Genomic DNA, 18,894 nt, shown 5'->3' on the forward strand with positions numbered 1-18,894 from the left:
CTTAAAGGGAGAGATTAGGTATCATTGCCAAGTTGCATACTCCTTCTCCCCGTCATTTCTCTGTCCCATATTTGTGTTAAGTGACCTTCTCTTTTTACGATAGTAATCAGAGGACTCTTTCTCTCCCCAGTAGTAGTGTTAAGAGCAGTAGCATTCATGTTTGTTGGGGGTCATGTGAGGCTGCAGAGAACTCTGTACTATGAGCTCTGAATCCAAATTCTCTGTCAATCATTATTTATTCATCAAACACTGAGCATCCTCTGAGGGTAAAGTTCTGTGCTATGTATTGGGGATACAAGCATGAATAAAACAGTCCTTATTTTCAAGGAATTCACAATTTAGTTGGGGATACAAATACTTAAAGGTTGTACCACCACGTGGGAATGTGTACAGGGTGTTAAAGGAACACATTAAAAGAAGTACCTTGGCTCAGCGCAGTGGCTCATGCCTGTAATCCCAACACTTTGGGAGGCCAATGTGGGAGGAACCCAGGAGTTTGAGGTTACAGTGAGGTAGGATCATGCCACTGCACTTCAGCCTGGGCAGCACAGCAAGACCTCTTCTTTAATTAAAAAAAAAAAAAAAAGGCAGGGGCATGTGGTGGCTCATGTCTGTAATTCCAGCACTTTGGGAGGCCGAGGCAGGAGGATTGCTTGAGCCCACGTGTTCAAGACCAGCCTGGGCAACATGGTGAGACCTTGTCTCCACCAGAACATCAGAACATTAGCCAGCCATGGTGGCATGCTCTTATGGCCCCAGCTACTTAAGAGGCTGAGTTGGGAGGATCGCTTGAGCCAAGGAGGTCAAGGCTACAGTGAGCTGTGATTGTGCCATTGCACTCCAGCCAGGGTGACAGAGCAAGATCCTGTCTCAAAAAAAAAACAAAAAAAAGTATATGTGTGTGTGTGTGTGTATGTGTGTGTGTATTATATATGTGTGTATATATATGTATATGTGTGTGTATGTATGTAGGGGAGGGGATGAGTAGCTGAGAAAGATGTGAACGAGGTGGTCAGATAATGTTTCTGAAGGGAATAATATGAGTCTTGGGGAACAGTGGAAATTAATCAAAGAAAGTGGGAAAGGGTGGTATTGCCAGTAGAGGGCACAGCACAGGCAAAGGCTCAGAGGTGAGAAACAGTACAGGGGGCCGTAGGAAAGTAGTCAGCGTAGGGGACCATCTACGCAAGTTTGGAAAGATAGATAGTAAACACATCCTGGACAGCCTCGTATATTCTAATAAGGAGCTGAGTTTGCCTAGAAGAAAAAAAAATGGAGTAGAGGTAGATTGATTGATTGATGTTTTTTTAAAGATAAGTTCTCACTTCGTCACTCAGGCTGGAGTGTAGTAGCACAATCATAGCTTACTGCAGCTTCAAACTACTGGGCTCAAGCAGTCCTTCTGCCTCAGCCTCCCGAGGAGCTGGGACTCCCAGGCATGTGCCACCACACCTGGATAATTTTTAATTTTTTTGTGGAGATGGGGTCTCATTATGTTTCCCAGGCTGGTCTCAAACTCCTGGCTTTATGCCATCCTCCCACCTTGGCCTCCCACAGTGGTGGGATGACAGGCATGAGCCACCATGCCCAGTTAGGAGGTAGATTTAAGTAATTATGATTTGGCCAGGTGCGGTGGCTCACACCTATAATCCCATCACTTTGGGAGGCCAAAGCAGGAGGGTCGCATGGGCCCGGGAGTTGGAGACCAGCCTGGGCAATATGGCAAGACCTTGTCTCAAAAACAAACACACAGAGAATTAAAAATAAGTAATTATGGCTGGGCGTAGTGGCTCACACCTGTAATCCCAGTACTTTGGGAGGCCGAGGTGGGCGGATCACAAAGCCAGGAGTTCAAGACCAGCCTGGCCAATATGGTGAAACCCCATCTCTACTAAAAATACAAAAATTAGCCGGGCGTGGTGGCGGGCGCCTATAGTCCCAGCTACCCGGGGAGGCTGAGGCAGGAGAATCTCTTGAACCTGGGAGGCGGATGTTGCAGTAAGCTGAGATCGTGCCACTGCACTCCAATCTGGGTGACAGAGCGAGACTGTCTCAAAAAAAAAAAAAGGTAATTATGATTTTAGGATTTATTCTCTGCTCATTTTACTTATCCATATAACAAAAATGTATTGAGTGCTTGTTCTATGCCAGACACTGTGCTAGGCAGGAGGGTTCAAAGATAATGGCTGCTCAGTCACTGGCTCAAGGCCTCGACTGTATCATGATGCCTAAGGGACCTTCTTTGGCTAATGCTTGTGCCTCTGCAGTGGTGAAAACTTTACCTGCCAAAGGCTTTATCCCTTTACAGAATGAACTTAGAGGGAGTCTGCCAAGGGCAGGCTCTGATTGGCTGATCATCCTAAGAAGCTCATGGCTGTTGTGCCCTGACAGCAGGGCACACCATACATGATTTGACAGCTGCCATGCTAACACAAGCCCTCATTTTCCTGAAATGATTTAGAAATACCTTGGAAATCCTCTCGGGAAAATTGGGTTGATACAGTACAGTGATGAGTTGGCAGCATGCATTTCTTTTTAGTCAGCGAGAATTTCATCTGTGCTCCTCTCTGCCAACCCAGACGTGCTCAGCTTGGAGCTGATAAGGCTTGTGAGGATGGTGAAGTTGGTCCTTCCCAGCATTTCCTGGCTGTTGTTTCACCATCCTGCTGCTTCAGGGTGGCCTTGTGCTGTGTCACACCTCCCTGGACCCGTAGTGATGGCTATTTCAAGTTGAGTGCAAATATCCTTCGTAGGACAGAATACATATGTATTAAAGCAGAGTTGGAAAGAATGCATATTTTGGTAAAATTAATCCTGTGTTTTCTGTCATAAATTGAAAACTTATTTCTGGAGGTTGGGAATAGGCTGAGTTGAAAATTGTGGTACAAGAATGGAAGAAATGTTTTCTGTTAGCCTAGCCCACTGCATGTACTTTTAGAACACTCTGTCGTCTTTCTTTTTGGCCCTCCTCCAGTTTATAGTAATTTCTCCGTAGTAATCCCTTGAATCTCATCTGTCGTTCCCAGAACACATCCCCTTCCCTTGTAACTTTGGATGCATAGTTGTAATTTTCAGTAACCTATGCAGTCAGAATTAAGAACATCAGAATAGCAACATCGGTTGAAGTTTATGATTCATTGAGAGTTCCATAGTCTTCTTATTGAGGTGATTAATTCAAAGTGAGGAGAGATAGTGATGGAATTCAAGTCAGGGATTGGGTGTACAGGTGTAGTTTAAAAGGCTCCACCCACGCCCACACCCCCGCCACCCCCCATCACTACCACCACCAGATGAGCCCAGATAGGCTCACTGCTCTAGGTAACCTGTAAAAGTCACAAACAGTACTAAAGGTTTGAGATTTGAAAGAATAATTGACCCTTTTGGCAGCTTGTGTCTTTACCGTCTCAAAAGAGTACATTTCATAGGACTACAACCATTGTGTGTGAGAGACAGAATCTGCCAAGTCATACACATTGGGCAGAAATTTCTTAAATCTGAGATTGCTATTTTTAGAAAGTTAGAGTTCTTGCTTTCTTAAATTCTATTAATTAGGGGTAGACTTAGTTAAGAGTCTGTGTCTTAACAGTGCCCAGTGAGTTAGCAGTGTTTGCTCTCCTTTGGGAAGCCATACTGTGGTCCAGAGCAGCCATCTGGCCAGTGTGGGCAGGAATTGCTCTGCAGCTTGAATGGGGTGAGAGCCAGCGTGCACTAGGGCCCGCCTTGGAGATGCACCCCTGTGCTTTATTTTTCTCTCAGTGTCTTACATGCCTAAGAAAGAGCACATGACCCTGAACTAAATAAATTCATACTGACCCTTTCCATTTAATGTTCCCCTCCAAATTCACCTGCCCCAGACTTGACTTTGGCTATTTCTGAAGTAAACGGTCATGGTTGCTTTTGATTTTTTCTGTAGTGTATGTGCCTTATCACTAAAGGGGCTGTGAAAAGTTGCAGCATTTGGGGCACAGAGATTTATGTTTGGGACCCATGCAAATATTTGTACTGTGAGCCTAAAAATATTTTTGGTTTTTCTTTCGTTTTGGAGAGTAACTTCAGCAATGCTGTAAACCCAGAGGACTCTGTAGGTTATTACTAGTACTGAGATGACCTTAGGCATTCATGGAGAGGGTTTGCTCCCAGCACATTGCTCGTTATTAACCTCTCGGTAATCCTGTGGGCTCTGAGCCTGAACTCACGCAGCATTCTCATAACTCTTCCTTTCAGACCACACCTGTGACAATGCAGGTTGGAGAAGGTCAGCAGGTGCAGATTGTCCAGGCTCAGCCACAGGGTCAAGCCCAACAGGCCCAGAGTGGCACTGGACAGACCATGCAGGTGATGCAGCAGATCATCACTAACACAGGAGAGATCCAGCAGATCCCGGTGAGTCCTGCCCTGAGGTCTGTCTTTACAACTTTATAGAAGGAAATACTTAAAGATATATATACCTTGATATATATATGTATATCTCTATATATACCTTGATATGTATATCTATAGCTATATATATACCTTGATATATATATCTATAGCTATATATATACCTTGATATATATATGTATGTCTCTATATATACCTTGATATGTATATCTATAGCTATATATATACCTTGATATATATATCTGTAGCTATATATATACCTTGATATATATATAGAGATATATATCACACGCATGCATAATCCTTTTTTTCTTTTTAGGAGACAGGTCTTGCTGTGTCACTCAGACTGATGAAGTGCAGTGGCTTGATCTCAGCTCACTGCAGCTTCCGCCTCCCAGGTTCAAGCGATTCTCCTGCCTCAGCCTCCCGAGTAGCTGGGATTATAGGCACGTGCCACTATGCCCGGCTGATTTTTGTATTTTTAGTAGAGATGGGGTTTCACAGTGTTGGCCAGGCTGGTCTCTAACTCCTAACCTCAGGTGATCCGCCCGCCTCGGCCTCCCAAAGTGCTGGGATTACAGGCATGAGCCATCACGCCCAGCCCTCAGTACTTATTTATATATATGCGTGTGTGTGTTTGTTTTGTTTTTAACCTATATGCCCAGTGTTCCTGACCACAACTTGCTTCACTGTGTTTGTTCCCTGCTTTCCTTTAATCTAGGTTCAGGTTCACCACGATTGGGCGGCTTCTCTCGATTTCCCCTCATTCTACCTATGCAGGGAAATCATTGTAACCACTACCCATGCCAAGGCCCAAAGGCCCTGTGAGGCAGTCCTGTATTTGATTAGCAGAGGATAAGAGGGAGGCGTATAGGGAAGGCCATAAATACACTTGTTGCATATTCATGAGTCAGTTCCCAGTGGAGCCTGCAGCAAAGTGTATTTTTGGCTTTCATATAACTTATCTATTCCTTTACTGTGGACTGCTGCTTCCTGTGTGCCTTGAGGGATTTCATTTCTTAGATTTGTTGGCTTTTTTATTTGTACTCCTTTTGTAAAATGTGTCCTTGTCTTAACACTTGCAGTCTTTACATTGGTCATTTTGACCCCCCAAAACTGGAAAGTGAGTGAAACAGAGCAGTCCTTCTATTCCCTGCCCTTTGCCATTTTTGTCATAAATGAAACGTAGGCAGGTATAGAAACTCACGTAGACTTGGTTAACCACTTCCTCTGTGAAAATAACTCTAAAAGTATCCTGAGATCAGTTTAGGAATTGTTCTTCATCTGAAGTTAACATAGTAATAGGCCAAGAGAAAGCTTAGGAAAGTGGAGTGTGTATGTCTCTTTCTCTACCTCTCTCACGTGTGCTTACGATACCCAGGATTGCAGATGACTGAGCTCTGCCTTGCTTCATTGTTTCAGTCCTCAACCCCAAGATTTCTGTTGAATGGTTCTCATTTTTGCAAGCGAAGGCACCACCACAGGTTCATTTAAGACAGAGAAGAGTTCCACCTTGCAGATACTTTAACTCTCTGGGGCACAGAGCTTTAGCCCAGAAGATTTGTTGCAGAATTCACTACTTCATCTTCACTGGCTCAGGCACCTTCTGTAGGAGTCTTCATTTCCAGACTCTTTAGGCAGCTCATTGGAATGTTCCTAATAGTGATGAGCTTCAGGAAGGAAACTTTATTTCCCTTTCAAAAACCCAGAGCTTATTTTCTCTGTAATTAATGTAAAAAAGCTATGAGGGTCCCCAGACCTGTCCTGCTGTAGAGGAATGAGGGACGGATCATCACCAAATGTCTTAACCTAGGCCAAAAAGGAAAGCTTCTTGCTTTGTTGAAGAGCTGCTTGGAACCATTTGGCTCACAGCTTTTCAGTCACATTTGGGTTTCTGCAAAGAGCTCTTCCCAGCTAGAAAATTTTAACATCCCTGTAGCTGTCAGTATACCTTCTCCCACTCCTGGGACAAGGCTTTAGTTTTTCATCTTGTGATCCCTGGCTGGAGTTCTGGGGACTCCTGGAACTAGCCACCATCAGTCTCTGTAGATGAGGTTTTCCAAACTTCTGCCCAGCTGCCTTCCTCCCCACAAGCAACTTAACATTGTTGCCAGGAAGCTGCATTATAGGATTTAGGTGGGGAATTCAGGCTTGGCACCACAGCCTCCCAGCAGCTTCTCTTGGCATATTCTCAGGAAAGAAATGACTGCAGGTCCTAATACTCTTGCCCTGTCTCCTTTGAACCAGATTTTTAATGGGTTTAGATTGGGTGTCCCTCCATCTTGCCTCAAGTGGGCAATTCTGGAATGGTCTACCGTGAACTTGAGAGGTCGTTTTTTCTCGGTAGTTCAAATTCTGTGAGGCTGGAAGTCTCAGAGAAGCATTTTGATTGAACACTGCGTGCAGGAATGCAGCTTCATCCCATTAGCATTTTCCTCATGGAAGAGTCCTGCAGTGAAGTTAGCTCTTGAAGGCCAGAGGGAAATTTGCTCCAGAGCAGAGGCAATACTTGCCTGTTAGCCACAAGAAGCTTCCCCTTGCAACAAAGGCAGGCTGGGCAGCCAGGGCAGGTGGTTTCTGGACCCCGCAGATAGAGACCTAGTCTATCCATGCTCCCAGAACCCCTTTCATTTCCTCTAAATTGAGGGTGTGAATGTCTGCAGTCCTCCTCTGCTGACCATCATCTTTGCTGAGCTACAGTTCTCTGATGTGGTAACCGCCTTGGTCCTCTTTTCATCCCCAGCTCAAAACACTAATACTTTCATGGTACACTGGAGCATTAAGAGCCTGAGTTAAGGCTTTTAGCACACAATTAAATGCAGCATGTGGTATTATTGTATTATCTGAGATTTAATCGTAAGCATGAGAGACTCTAAGGGCGCTTTCGTAGCTTTGGTTTCCCATGATGGGGTTTTCTATGAAAGGTTTATTGATTCTGCTTCCCCTTGGGAGGTGTTTGGCCAGAAGCTAGTGCTGAACACCAAAGATCCTAAAAGCCCCACAGACCCCCATCCAGCCTGGCTCTTGGGGACAGAGATGGTTAAGCAGTCCAGCTTTTGCCTCCAAAATGTGCAGCATGGGGCAGGGCAGTGTGAGGGCTATGATGCGGAATGATGGCTGTTTGCTTTGGGATCCTGGCAGATGCTGGATCTCTTTACAGATGGGAGCGAAAGAGGCCCACACTTAATGTACAGGCATTCTGATGATGTCAGTCAGATAAATTCCTAAGATAAGCTGTGATCATGTAGCTAAGAGCTGGCAAATAATGAGCATGCAGCCATGCTGTTCTCACCTTTGTGACAGGATCTTCTGGGAGTTTTTTCTGAAGTCCATTCAGGGAATATATTCTCTTCTGTGCTGTGTGACTTGTGGGATGTGGATGTTCTGATTTTGCTTGTTTTGACCTCTGTTTAAAAGGGACTTTTTTCAGGGCAGGCTTCTTTGGAGGGCTTGAGGGGTAGGGGGCAATCAACATCTCTGGTCATGGAAAGTTTGCCTGTTTGAGATTATACTCAATGTCTTATGGTCTCTTTGTCTCTGCCCCTGCCCTAGGTGCAGCTGAATGCCGGCCAGCTGCAGTATATCCGCTTAGCCCAGCCTGTATCAGGCACTCAAGTTGTGCAGGGACAGATCCAGACACTTGCCACCAATGCTCAACAGGTATGTGCCCCAGAGACACAAGGCCTGTGTTGGAGACCAGGAGCAGATGGCTTCTGACAGGAAAGGAGCGCTCAGCACACAGCTGTCTTGCCACCTCATCCTTCAACCAGAAGCACCACCCCCACACCCTCCATATCCTTCTGCACCCAAGAGGCATGGGTGGTAATTGGAACATTAGATTCAAAGTGTTTTCTCTTACCATCTTGTTCTCAAGGGGCAAAGAAATGCAAGTCAGGGGAAGCCTCGAAGGTGCCTGAAAGAAACCTTACAGGTGTGCACACCCATCAGACCTGGGAAATGTTCGACAGATCGCCTGATCGTCAGGCTGTTTCCATCTTTAAACCCAAGTGGCTGTTGTGTTCTGGCACCTCCTGTGCTCTTTGGAAAGCTTACTTAGATTTTACCCCTACCTCCTCTTGCATCCCTAACCAGAAAAATTGCCCTTCTCCTCTCCTCTCGTGCCCTACAATATTGATGGCTATGAGTCACAGATGGTGAGGGGGCTGCCTCCCTGGGCTTGGGGGTGTTGAGGGACATGGGTATTACTTGCAGAAGATGGGGGGTGCTGGTCAAGGGGAGGCATTGTTAATGGATTCTTTTGCCTCAGACCCAAAAAAAGCAGCGATCGTTTAAGAGCTGGACCCGTCTGGCCCAGTTGCATTTCTGGTGATGTATCTATTGACAGTGGTGACAGAGCTGAGTTTGTAGAGCAGGTCTCCAAAGATCTCATTTGGGAAAATACGAGGAATGAGCCAAAAGCAAGGCTTCTGAGTTCCATATAGTCTCTGGGATCATTAAGGGCTGTTTCTGTGCCCACTCCCCGGCTTACCTAAGGACGCGGCTTTTCCGTAGCTGATACTGACTCACACCCTTCCCCCAGCCCCTCTTTTTAACCTCATAAGATTCTTCCCTGGGATCCAAAAAACATAACGGCATGGGAGTGGGAGGAAATGAGAAGGAAGCTTCTTGGTTCCTCAGAAGTCAGTTTGGGGCTGGGCACAGTGGGTCACGCCTGTAATCCCAGCACTTTGGGAGGGAGGCTGAGGCAGGTGATCACATGAGGTCGGGAGTTTGAGACCAGCCTGGCCAACATGGCAAAACCGTTTCCACTAAAAATACAAAATTAGCTGGGCGTGGTGGTGCATGCCTGTCATCCCAGCTACTTGGGAGGCTGAGACACAAGAATCACTTGAACCCAGGAGGTGGAGGTTGCAGTGAGCTGAGATTGTGCCACTGCACTCCAGCCTGGGCGACAGAGTGAGACTCTGTCTCAAAAAATAAAAATTAAAAAAAGTCCGTTTTGGGAACAGAACTAAAGCCAAAAAATGGGAGAGGCTGGGGAGAAGCAAGAAAGTGGTAGCTGAAGGCAATGAAAATCTTTGTAACAACAGGTTGTAATTATGACAACCTAATACTTAGTAGGTGCTCAGTAAATGTTTGTTGAATGAAGCTGAATGAATAATATGTAAATAAAATGTAAAGGTAAATGAAATCTCAGCTAATATGAATGGCAATCCTGCTGGCCACAGAGCAGTTAACCTTCTTATCTATGTGGAATATTTTCCATTTGTCTCAGGCTCACTTGTTTATTCTGCAACATTTCTGGAATACTAACTTTGTATGGGCTCCTGCCCTCAGGCATCTTATAGGCTGTTGGAAGGAAAAGGACCAAAATAAGGAACAATAGTAAAAAATAGTCATGAAGCCTGTCATACCTGTTCCCTTTCTTGTTCCTCATAGCCTCATGGGTAGGCCTGCAGGGGTTGTTTTTGGCCATGGTGAGGACATTTGAGAGGACAGTCCTTGTCTTGCAGGCTGGCTGTGATGATTCCAGGAAATGGTACACAGAGGACACTGCTGGCCAAATGTTCCATAGGAACACATGTGCATGCACACCGCAGTCTTCTTTCTAGTTTACCGAGCTGCTCCCAGCAGTTGTCATTATATATGCAGTTCTACATGTCAGTACATTTATCTAAAATCCATTCACAGTCCACACATAAGATTTTAAGTACTTGTGATAAATGTTGTCTTTGTTCCACTCCCGGTCCCTCCCCTTTTCTCCTCCCCTCCTTTGGCCCAGAGGGCTGCACAGTGCCTCTCTCGGAAAAAGTACTTCATAGGTTTGCCATGAGGACTGCTGGGACCAAGGCCACTTGCTCGCCAGGGTGTTTCATATTCCAGTCAGATGATCTGGGTGATACGGGTTTGGTTTGGAGCCCACCTTCCAAGAATGAAAGAGGCCACTTACCACTTTGTCTGACACTTTGCAGTCCGCCTTCACTGGCTGAAAGACTGACTCTTAGGACTTCTACCCCAAACCATAGCACCTAGGGTCCATGTGTTCTGTTTGAGCCTCAGAGTTTGAGATGAGTGGGTGGTTGAGGGAGTAGGCATTCATTAGAGAGATGGGTGTGGGAACTATCTATTATGTGCTCCAGGATTCTCGATGTCACTTTGTGCTGCCAACTCTTGACGTAGCCATCAGTGCTAGATTAGGAGGGGTGCTTGCTTGCTTACTACCCATTGAGCACCTGCTGGGCACTTTATATGCATTGTCTCATTTGATCTTTATGACCCTCTTTTGGGTGGTGGGCTGGTGGATCAGACCCTGCAGCTGACATACCAACTCTACCATCTTGATTCTTACAGATTACACAGACAGAGGTCCAGCAAGGACAGCAGCAGTTCAGCCAGTTCACAGATGGACAGGTAGGGTACCCAACCTGGGCTGGGCAGAGGGTGAGGATTTGCGGGGCAGGGTAGCAGGTAGTATCTGGGTTTGGATGGTTAGGGCAACTGTCCTGTCCTCTACTAACAGTGAGTGGACAGAAATTGTTAAAACAAGTACGGTATTTAAATCAGGGCACCTATCCTTTAGTTTTATAGACTTAGTGGGAACTAAAATAATCTTAGACATGTAGCCCAAATTGCCATTTTACAGATGAGTAAACTGAACCCTGGAGATGGGAAGTGCCTTGTCCATGCTCCCCTAGATGTTCATTGCAGAGCCAGGACTAGAGAGCAGGTTTCCTGTTTCCCTCTCTAGAACTGTATTTTTTTCCCCTCTAAGCCATGATGCTGTTTTAATAGCATGGACTGTTGAGACGCAGAGAACACGTGACCTCTTGAGCTCTCTGGGTGCCTGAAATTCAGTCATTTTCAGTCCATGCGAGGAGAGAATCTTCCCTTTTCCCTCTGCTTTCCCCTCACAGTACAGTCCCAGAGACCACTGAGGACATGATAGGATGACATGCCCAAACTTGTGCCCTCTGCTGCTCAAAAGGGAGAAGAGCTGGCATCAGGACCCACCTCTGGCTTCTGCCAGCACCACATGCTAGGCTTACATGCCAGGGCTCCCATGAGGGCTTGGCTTTTGGCTTCTTTGGGGAGCGCCTGGGAAACCAAGTAGTCAATTAGCCCTGACCTTCCTAAGTGGCTGTGTGAGTATCTTCTCCACCCCTGGAGCGTCTTGGCTATAGTTAAGTGTTTAATACCAGGCCACCTCCTTAGCAGGGTCCATGGAGAAAATTCAAATTCAGTTTAGTTTCAACCTGAGCCAGATATTCTGAGAAAAGAAGGAGAGGAGGGGGTAATCCTACTGCCCCTGCCAGTGTAGATTACCAAGAGTTGGGGAAATGCTGACTTCCAAGCTGCTGGTACAGTGGTTCGAATTGCTTGTGTTTGCCACAGAGGAACAGCGTGCAGCAAGCTCGAGTCTCTGAGCTAACGGGAGAGGCAGAGCCCAGAGAAGTGAAAGCCACAGGAAATTCAACTCCCTGCACCTCTTCCCTGCCCACCACACACCCCCCCTCACACCGGGCTGGTGCCTCCTGTGTCTGCTGCTCCCAACCCCAGCAGAGCTCCACTTCCCCTCCTCCTTCTGACGCCTTGCAGTGGGTGGTGGTTGAGGTATCTGGGACCCCCAACCAGCTCGAGACCCATAGGGAGCTGCATGCCCCTCTCCCAGGGATGACCTCACTCTCTCCTCTCCACCCCTCGCAGCAGCTCTACCAGATCCAGCAAGTCACCATGCCTGCGGGCCAGGACCTCGCCCAGCCCATGTTCATCCAGTCAGCCAACCAGCCCTCCGACGGGCAGGCCCCCCAGGTGACCGGCGACTGAGGGCCTGAGCTGGCAAGGCCAAGGACACCCAACACAATTTTTGCCATACAGCCCCAGGCAATGGGCACAGCCTTCCTCCCCAGAGGACCCGGCCGACCTCAGCGCCTCCTGCAGGCTAGGACACTGGTGCACTACACCCCATGCCTGGGGGCCGAGATTCTCCAGCAGAAAGATGCAATATTTTTTGTTTCCTTTTTTTCCATTTTTTTCTCTAAGGAATCAATATTTCAATATGTTGAGTGTGTGTCCAATGCTATGAAATTAAAATATTAAATAACATATTTATGGCATTTTCTTGAAGAGTGTGGTTGAAGAAATATTTCTCCTTTTGTTTTTCTTTTTTTTTTGTTTGTTACTGCCACTTCTTTTTAGGAGCAAATCTCCCCAGGGGTGTACGGTATTTCTTGACTCTGGGAACAGCTGCTACCCCCAAGACTTGCCACGTTGTTCTGCCCTCAGATGGAATTAGGTGAATGTGTGTAGCTGCTTTTTCACTCGTGGTCCTCTCCCCATCCCTTGCTCTGACCCCAGAGCTCTGTGTATTTGCATCCAGAGGCCATGGAAACATTCTTTGCATTTAAGAGACAGATTTATTCCCTGTGGAGAGTGGGTGGATTCATTGCCACACTCTTTTCTCCCAGGGACCCAGGAAACTAGGACTTTGTGTGTTTGCTGCCCACCTCCCTTTTATTTTTTAAATGCATTAAAAACTGTGCTAGTCTCCTTTGCATGGACTTCAAGCTGCATGAAATGCAATAAATCTCATTTTAGATAATTTAGAGTCTGGGTTTCTGTGTCTGGGGGCATTCATGGGGCCACTTTGCTTGGAAAGGTTCATTTGCCCTCAGTTTGTGTGTCTGGGAGAGAGGGCCACCCTTGTGAGAAGGAGATGTTCAAAGCTAAGGGAACTTAATGCTGTGTACCTAATTCAAACTGAGGTCCTTAGCCGATCTTTTTTTTTCTGGCTCTGTTGCCCAGGCTGGAGTGCAGTGGTGTGATCACTGCTCACTGCAGCATCAATCTCCTGGGCTCAAGCAATCCTCCCACCCCAGCCTCCTGAATTGCTAGGACTACAGTCAGGTACCACCATGCCCAGCTAATTTTTTTTATTTTTTATTTGTAGAGACACGGTTTCACTGTATTGCCCTGGCTGGTCTTGAACTCCTGGGCTCAAGTGATCCTCCCACGTCAGCCTCCCAAAGTACTGGGATTACAGGCATGAGCCACTGTGCCTGGCCTACCTCGGCTGGTCTTAAAAGTGAGCTTCATCAGAATATATTTGCTGCTCAGAGATGCTTGCCTGCTGGACTCACTAGATTCTGACCCGTGTATCAGACTGAGCTGTGTCCTGCCTGGTTGAGGGTCAAGAAGGGGGCATCTCTCATGGAGAAAGCTGGCTCCGTCAAAGCCTGGGGTAAATCCTTCCAGTCCTGCCTGGCACAGGCTATCATTCAGCTACCTGCTGTGGCCATGCCCATTAACAAAGGCATGGCATCTGCCATAGAGAACAACCCAGGCCCCTTGTCAGCCAAGAGTTCTACAGCCAAGACCTACTTCCTGTTAATTGAAGCAGGGAGAATAGAGAGAGCATTCCACTTCATTGGCCACAGAGGCCAGTGATGAGCCATCTTTCTTACCTCCACCATGCCATCCTTCCAGCTGGAATGAGCTGCTGTTGTGGGAAGAACAGTGAGCTGGGTGCCAGGAAATGTAGGTATTTGCCCTAAACCCATGGGCAAATACCTCCCTTGTCTTTGGGACTGTCTCAGTGGGTGAGGTGGAAATTGGGGAAGGGCTTATATTAGATGATTTCAAGTCTGAACCTGATGCTTTTATGATTATCTTATGAAATATCCACTGTAAACCATGGGGATAAGACATGAGTTAGTTTTCAACAAGTAGTTTCAGATTACTGCCCTCTGATCTTCCTCCCAGGAGATTCCCCAGATTTCTGGGATCTGCTTAAATACTTTGCCTAGATTCAAGTCTGGCCAGCTCTGCTCTTTACTCCAGATTGGGGCATCCTGTTGCCTATATTGTCTTGATGATGGTAGCTTATAAAATACTCAGCATCTACTTCACTATGCCTTACCTCAGTCCATAAGAAAAAATTGCAATGAAAACAACACAATGAAATAATAAAGTAAAACAAATTAGAATTAGGAAAAATACAATTGAGTAGGAAATCAGGATTATAGAAAACAAGAACACAGATATCATGGTTATAAAGACCTACGTATTTGTTAGAATTATTTGACCCTGAGCTTCCTGGCCACCAGAGCAAAAAGAGATGAGACCAGGTAAAGGATTCACATTATAAAAGAAAGACAGATAACTTTTTTTTTTTTTTCAAAAGCAAAGTTTTTTTAGCTTTAAGGTTTTGGATACATGATGCTGTCTATCCAAAATGACATGGAGTGTCACCAGGGTAGGTAAAGCAGGTGACAGTTCACCATGAGAAGTCAGTAAGTTGGCCCCCATAACAGTGAGTCAGGGTCAGCCCCAACCTGCTCGCAACTCCCAAATTCATTCCCTCCTTCTATATCTAGTTACCTTCATTCTAGCTCTGGACTTTATTCTGAAGGGGGTCTTCTGGCCTTTCCAGCTGTCCAGAACTCAGTCTTAGCGAGACATCATATAATAGCAAGTTTTCACTGATAGCCGTGTGCCTAGCCCTGTGTGCAGGGAATGTAAGAGGGAGAAAGTGAACATGCAGAGGGGCCCCAGGCTCAGAGAAAAGGCAGAACCTCCACAATTTAATTTCATGGTGCCCTGTGTCCCACCTTGTTTGCTCTTTGGTTCATTCCTGAAAACCCAAGTGTGATTGGAGTTTCAGGCCAATGAATGGGTCCCCATTTTCCTGTAGACTTCCATTCTTGTTTTAGAGATGTTTTGATCAGTTGTGATTAGCAAGCAGCTTCCCTGCTGAACACTTTCCCTTTAAATTGCCCTGCCAGCAGGGCCCATCCTGGTGTAAACAAACCCTTTGGCGCAGCCCAAGAGAGCCCCTATCTAATACCCAGCACGATCCCCTTACATCCGGAGCACTCTTTAAACATTTTTCCTAGCACTTGCAGCATCCGTCCTCCCTCCCGATGATCTTCACAGTGACCCTGCAGGGGAGACAGGAAGAGGTATCATGATCCCTGTGTTAGCGATGGAGTCATGGGAGGGCTAGTGAAGTGCAGTGACTTGCCCAAGGTCACTCCATGAATTGAGGGTGGAATTGAAACCAAAACACTGATCTCCTGACCCCCTGTGCATACACAGTTGCTCTCTGGCCAAAGGTGACATGTATATGTGTAAGAAAGAAGCAGGCTATTGAAATGTGAACTATCCCCTTTTAGTCAGTCTTCCTGAACTGACTGGCCCAGCCTTGAGTATACATGAAATAAATAAAGCAGTTGGGTCTGGTCTGGGGACAGCTGGTGGTTGGGAACTTGCCACAAGGATGACCTTGGAGATTGGAGACCCCTGGAATCTGGAGCAGACAATCTGGCTGGCTTCCTTGCAGCTCAGGTCTGCGGAGGCCACAAGGGGGCAGCATGCAGCCCTCACCTGTGTCTCTGGGAGGTGCCCTGTCCCACTGTCATCCCAACTGTAGACAATTCTAGGAACTAGTGGGAGTATGACTGTCCCCTTTCTTAACCCACTTCCTGATAAGACCCTCACCCTTTGAAGGGAGGGTCCTCCCTAGGATAACAGTGAGAGCTGGAAACTCTACCCTCTCCAGAGTATTGCCTCAAGGTAGGTGGTTAGATTTTAATAAGGACTTTCTGACAGCCCAAGTTGGTTCAAGGTCCTTCTTATCTCCCCAGCTTTGTTTCTTTTCACTCTCCTCTCCCTCACCACCTCCTGTACTCTATGCTCCTGTCACACCCAATTACTCACTGATCCCTGAACTTAGCTCCATGTTTTCAGAATGTGCTAGCTACAATTCCTGAAATGCCCTTTTACTTCCCTTTTCACTTATTGAGCTCCTATACATCCATCAAGGCCCAATTTAAATGGCCCTTGCCGAGAAACTTCTAATTCCTGAGCCAGAGTCAGCAAAGACCTCTTCAGTGCTCCCATGTGAACTTCTACAACCTCTATTATTAGAGCTCATATACAGTCATTCAGCAGCTATTTCTTTGGCACCTTCTGTGTGTCAGACGTTGTTTTAAACATTGTGAATACAGCTTAAAACAAGTCTGACTTCTCTGCTACCATGGAGCTTATATTGATGATTGGGTTGAGGGCAGGGGTTGGGTTGGGGAGAGAGACAACAAACAAAAGACCAAGTTAGCCTCTAAAGAAACCCTCTATCCTCTGTTAGTGTTTTCTGGTTTGGGCTGTCTTCCTCACAGGGAGTTCTCAAGTCCAGGGTCATCTCTGCACCGCTGGAGTGCAGCACAGAGCCTGGCACCAAGGGGGTAACAGTAACTGATGAGTGAGTGAATGAACACAAAGCCATCCTTGCAGCCACACTGCGCACATTCCCACCTCTGCTCATCTGCTCTCACCATGACATTTTTTTCTTAACAATTTTTGTTTGTTTTTTTTTCAGATGGAATCTCGCTCTGTTGCCAGGCTGGAGTGCAGTGGCGCGATCTCAGCTCACTGCAACCTCCGCCTCCCGGGTTCAAGTGATTCTCCTGCCTCAGCCTCCTGAGTAGCTGGGACTACAGGCGCCCGCCACCACGCCCAGCTAATTTTTGTATTTTTAGTAGAGACGGGGTTTCACCATGTTGGCCAGAATGGTCTCGATCTCTTGACCTCGTGATCCGCCCACCTTGGCCTCCCAAAGTGCTGGTATTACAGGCGTGAGCCACCGTGCCCAGCTCTTATTAACAATTTTTTATTGAGCTCTGATAATATGCCAGGCAGGGGTGTTCAATGGAGATTATTGTTTAAGAAATTTCTGTCTAGGAAAATATGTCTAAGGCCAGGCATGGTGGCTTATGCCAGTAATCCTAGCACTTTGGGAGATGGAGGCAGGAGGATCACTTGAGGTCAGGAGTTTGAGACCAGCCTGGGCAACATGGTGAAACCCCATCTCTATAAAAAATACAAAAATTAATCGGGTGTGGTGGTGCGTGCCTGTAATCCTAGCTACTTGGGAGGCTGAGACAGGAGGATTGCTTGAGCCAGGGAGGATCACTTGGGTGACAGAATGAGACCCTGTCTCAAAAAAAAAAAGAAAAGAAAAGAAAAGAAAAGAAAATACATCTAAAGCTTGGTACTCATGGATTCTCATTTCATCTTCACATCCTCGTTAGGTAGGCATTCTCCCTATTTTATAAGTAAGAAACTGGGTCTCAAACATGTTAAAATATTACCCAAGGGCACCAGCTGGTTGCCTGGAGCCAGATGCTCCTAGAAGCCTCCTGTGTCAGCTGGCCCAGCCCCCATGGGTTTTGTCCCCTCCATTTGTGATTATTTTCCTACAGAGAATGAGAGTCCCCTTCCCACCAACTCTTGAGTAGGGACCTAGCTTTTGTCCCACAGCTCCAGCCATCTATAGGCCTCAGTGAGGTGGCATCTGATCTCCTAAGAGGAGTGGACCCTCCTGTGGAGGCCCAGTGCCCAGTCACATGAGCAACTTGGCCATGGCTTCCTCAAGGCCTCGTGTGCTAGGCTGCTGGTGTCTTCCCCAGCTTGGGTGCTGTTCCACTGCCATGGCTTAGGAAGAGGGGACAGAAGGACAGTAAGGCTGGCACTCAGGAGGGAAGAACCTGAGCTGGGCCAGGCTGGGCTGGCCTCCTGTGTCTGGCTGGTGCTGAGGAGAAGTCTGAAACAGAGCCCGGCCTCCCTCCAATCCCTGAGACTCCAGCCCCTCCTTAGAGTCCTGGCCCTGCGCTGTGCCCATCATCTCTGTGAACTCCCAGCCCCTCCCCCAAGTTCCTGTTCTCTCTTTCTGGGAAGGTCTGTGGAACAGCTTTCTAAGATCTTGTATGTGTCAAATGTCTTAATTTTGCCCTTTCATTTAAGTGACAGTTTGGCAAGGTATGGAATTCTAGGTTCACAATTATTTGCCCTCAGCACTTTGAAGATACGATTCCATTGTCTCTTGGCATCTGTTGTTGCTGATGAGAAGTTTACTGTCAACTCAATTATTGGACCTTTGTAGATAAGCCATCTTTTCTCTCTGGTGGCTTTTAGAATTTCTATTTATTCTTGATATTCTACACTTTGACTACAAGGTGTCTAGATAGAGTTTTGTTTTCTAAGATATCTTACTAGGTAGTCTGTGGGCCTTTTAAATCTAGAAATTCATGGATTATTTTTGGCAAGTTCAGTCACTCTTTCCAGTATCTCTTTTTGAAACCCTTAATGCATATGCTAGATTTTCTCATTCAATCTTCTATGTCTCTTTTCTTTCATCTGCTTAATCTCTTTATTCTGTGCTTCAGTCTGAAGGATTTCCTCAGTTCTAGCTTCTAATTCATTAATTCTCTTCAGATATATTTGATAACCTATTTATTGATTTTTTAAAAAATGTTAGTAACTTTAGTTTTCATTTCTAAAATTTCTAGATAGTTCTGTTCATTTCTGCTACGTTTCTGTTTGATATCTTTCTATTCTTGTTTTATATATGCTACTTCTTCCTTTATCTTTTTGATGATTTTAGCTATATTAAATTTCCTTTCAGATTGCTCCATTAGCTCTAGGTCTTTATGTATAAATTCTCCCATGAGAGGTATGTCTCTTAAGGTATGGTGCTTCTAATCTGTTATGGAATTTATC

At 46.2% G+C, this 18,894-nt stretch overlaps 1 protein-coding gene across 36 annotated transcripts in view, besides 2 other annotated features; it reads left to right on the forward strand.

Annotated features, from left to right (window-relative positions):
• The window catches only part of NFYC (nuclear transcription factor Y subunit gamma), a 79,900-nt gene extending 66,960 nt beyond the window's left edge, over positions 1-12,940 (forward strand). For 11 of the 36 annotated variants that reach the window (XM_017001365.3, XM_047421368.1, XM_047421353.1 and 8 more), the window contains 5 exons: positions 4,225-4,383; positions 7,933-8,040; positions 8,255-8,311; positions 10,693-10,752; positions 11,734-12,940. In XM_017001365.3, coding sequence (XP_016856854.1) covers positions 4,225-4,383; positions 7,933-8,040; positions 8,255-8,311; positions 10,693-10,752; positions 11,734-12,165 — 816 coding nt within the window. In that variant the 3' untranslated portion in view covers positions 12,166-12,940. The remainder of the gene's footprint in view (positions 1-4,224; positions 4,384-7,932; positions 8,041-8,254; positions 8,312-10,692; positions 10,753-11,733) is intronic. The other 25 variants (XM_006710661.3, NM_001308115.2, XM_047421358.1 and 22 more) reach the window with 7 other exon arrangements.
• Positions 5,601-5,650: an enhancer, noted in NCBI's record as "active region_853". NCBI's record gives its function as "activates an Ori minimal core promoter by ATAC-STARR-seq in GM12878 lymphoblastoid cells {active_cell/tissue: GM12878}" and the evidence as "EXISTENCE:reporter gene assay evidence [ECO:0000049][PMID:35858748]".
• Positions 5,751-5,850: an enhancer, noted in NCBI's record as "active region_854". NCBI's record gives its function as "activates an Ori minimal core promoter by ATAC-STARR-seq in GM12878 lymphoblastoid cells {active_cell/tissue: GM12878}" and the evidence as "EXISTENCE:reporter gene assay evidence [ECO:0000049][PMID:35858748]".
• Positions 12,941-18,894: the final 5,954 nt, after the last annotated feature.

Source organism: Homo sapiens, chromosome 1 (genome assembly GCF_000001405.40).
Source record: "Homo sapiens chromosome 1, GRCh38.p14 Primary Assembly".
Classification (NCBI taxonomy): domain Eukaryota; kingdom Metazoa; phylum Chordata; class Mammalia; order Primates; family Hominidae; genus Homo; species Homo sapiens.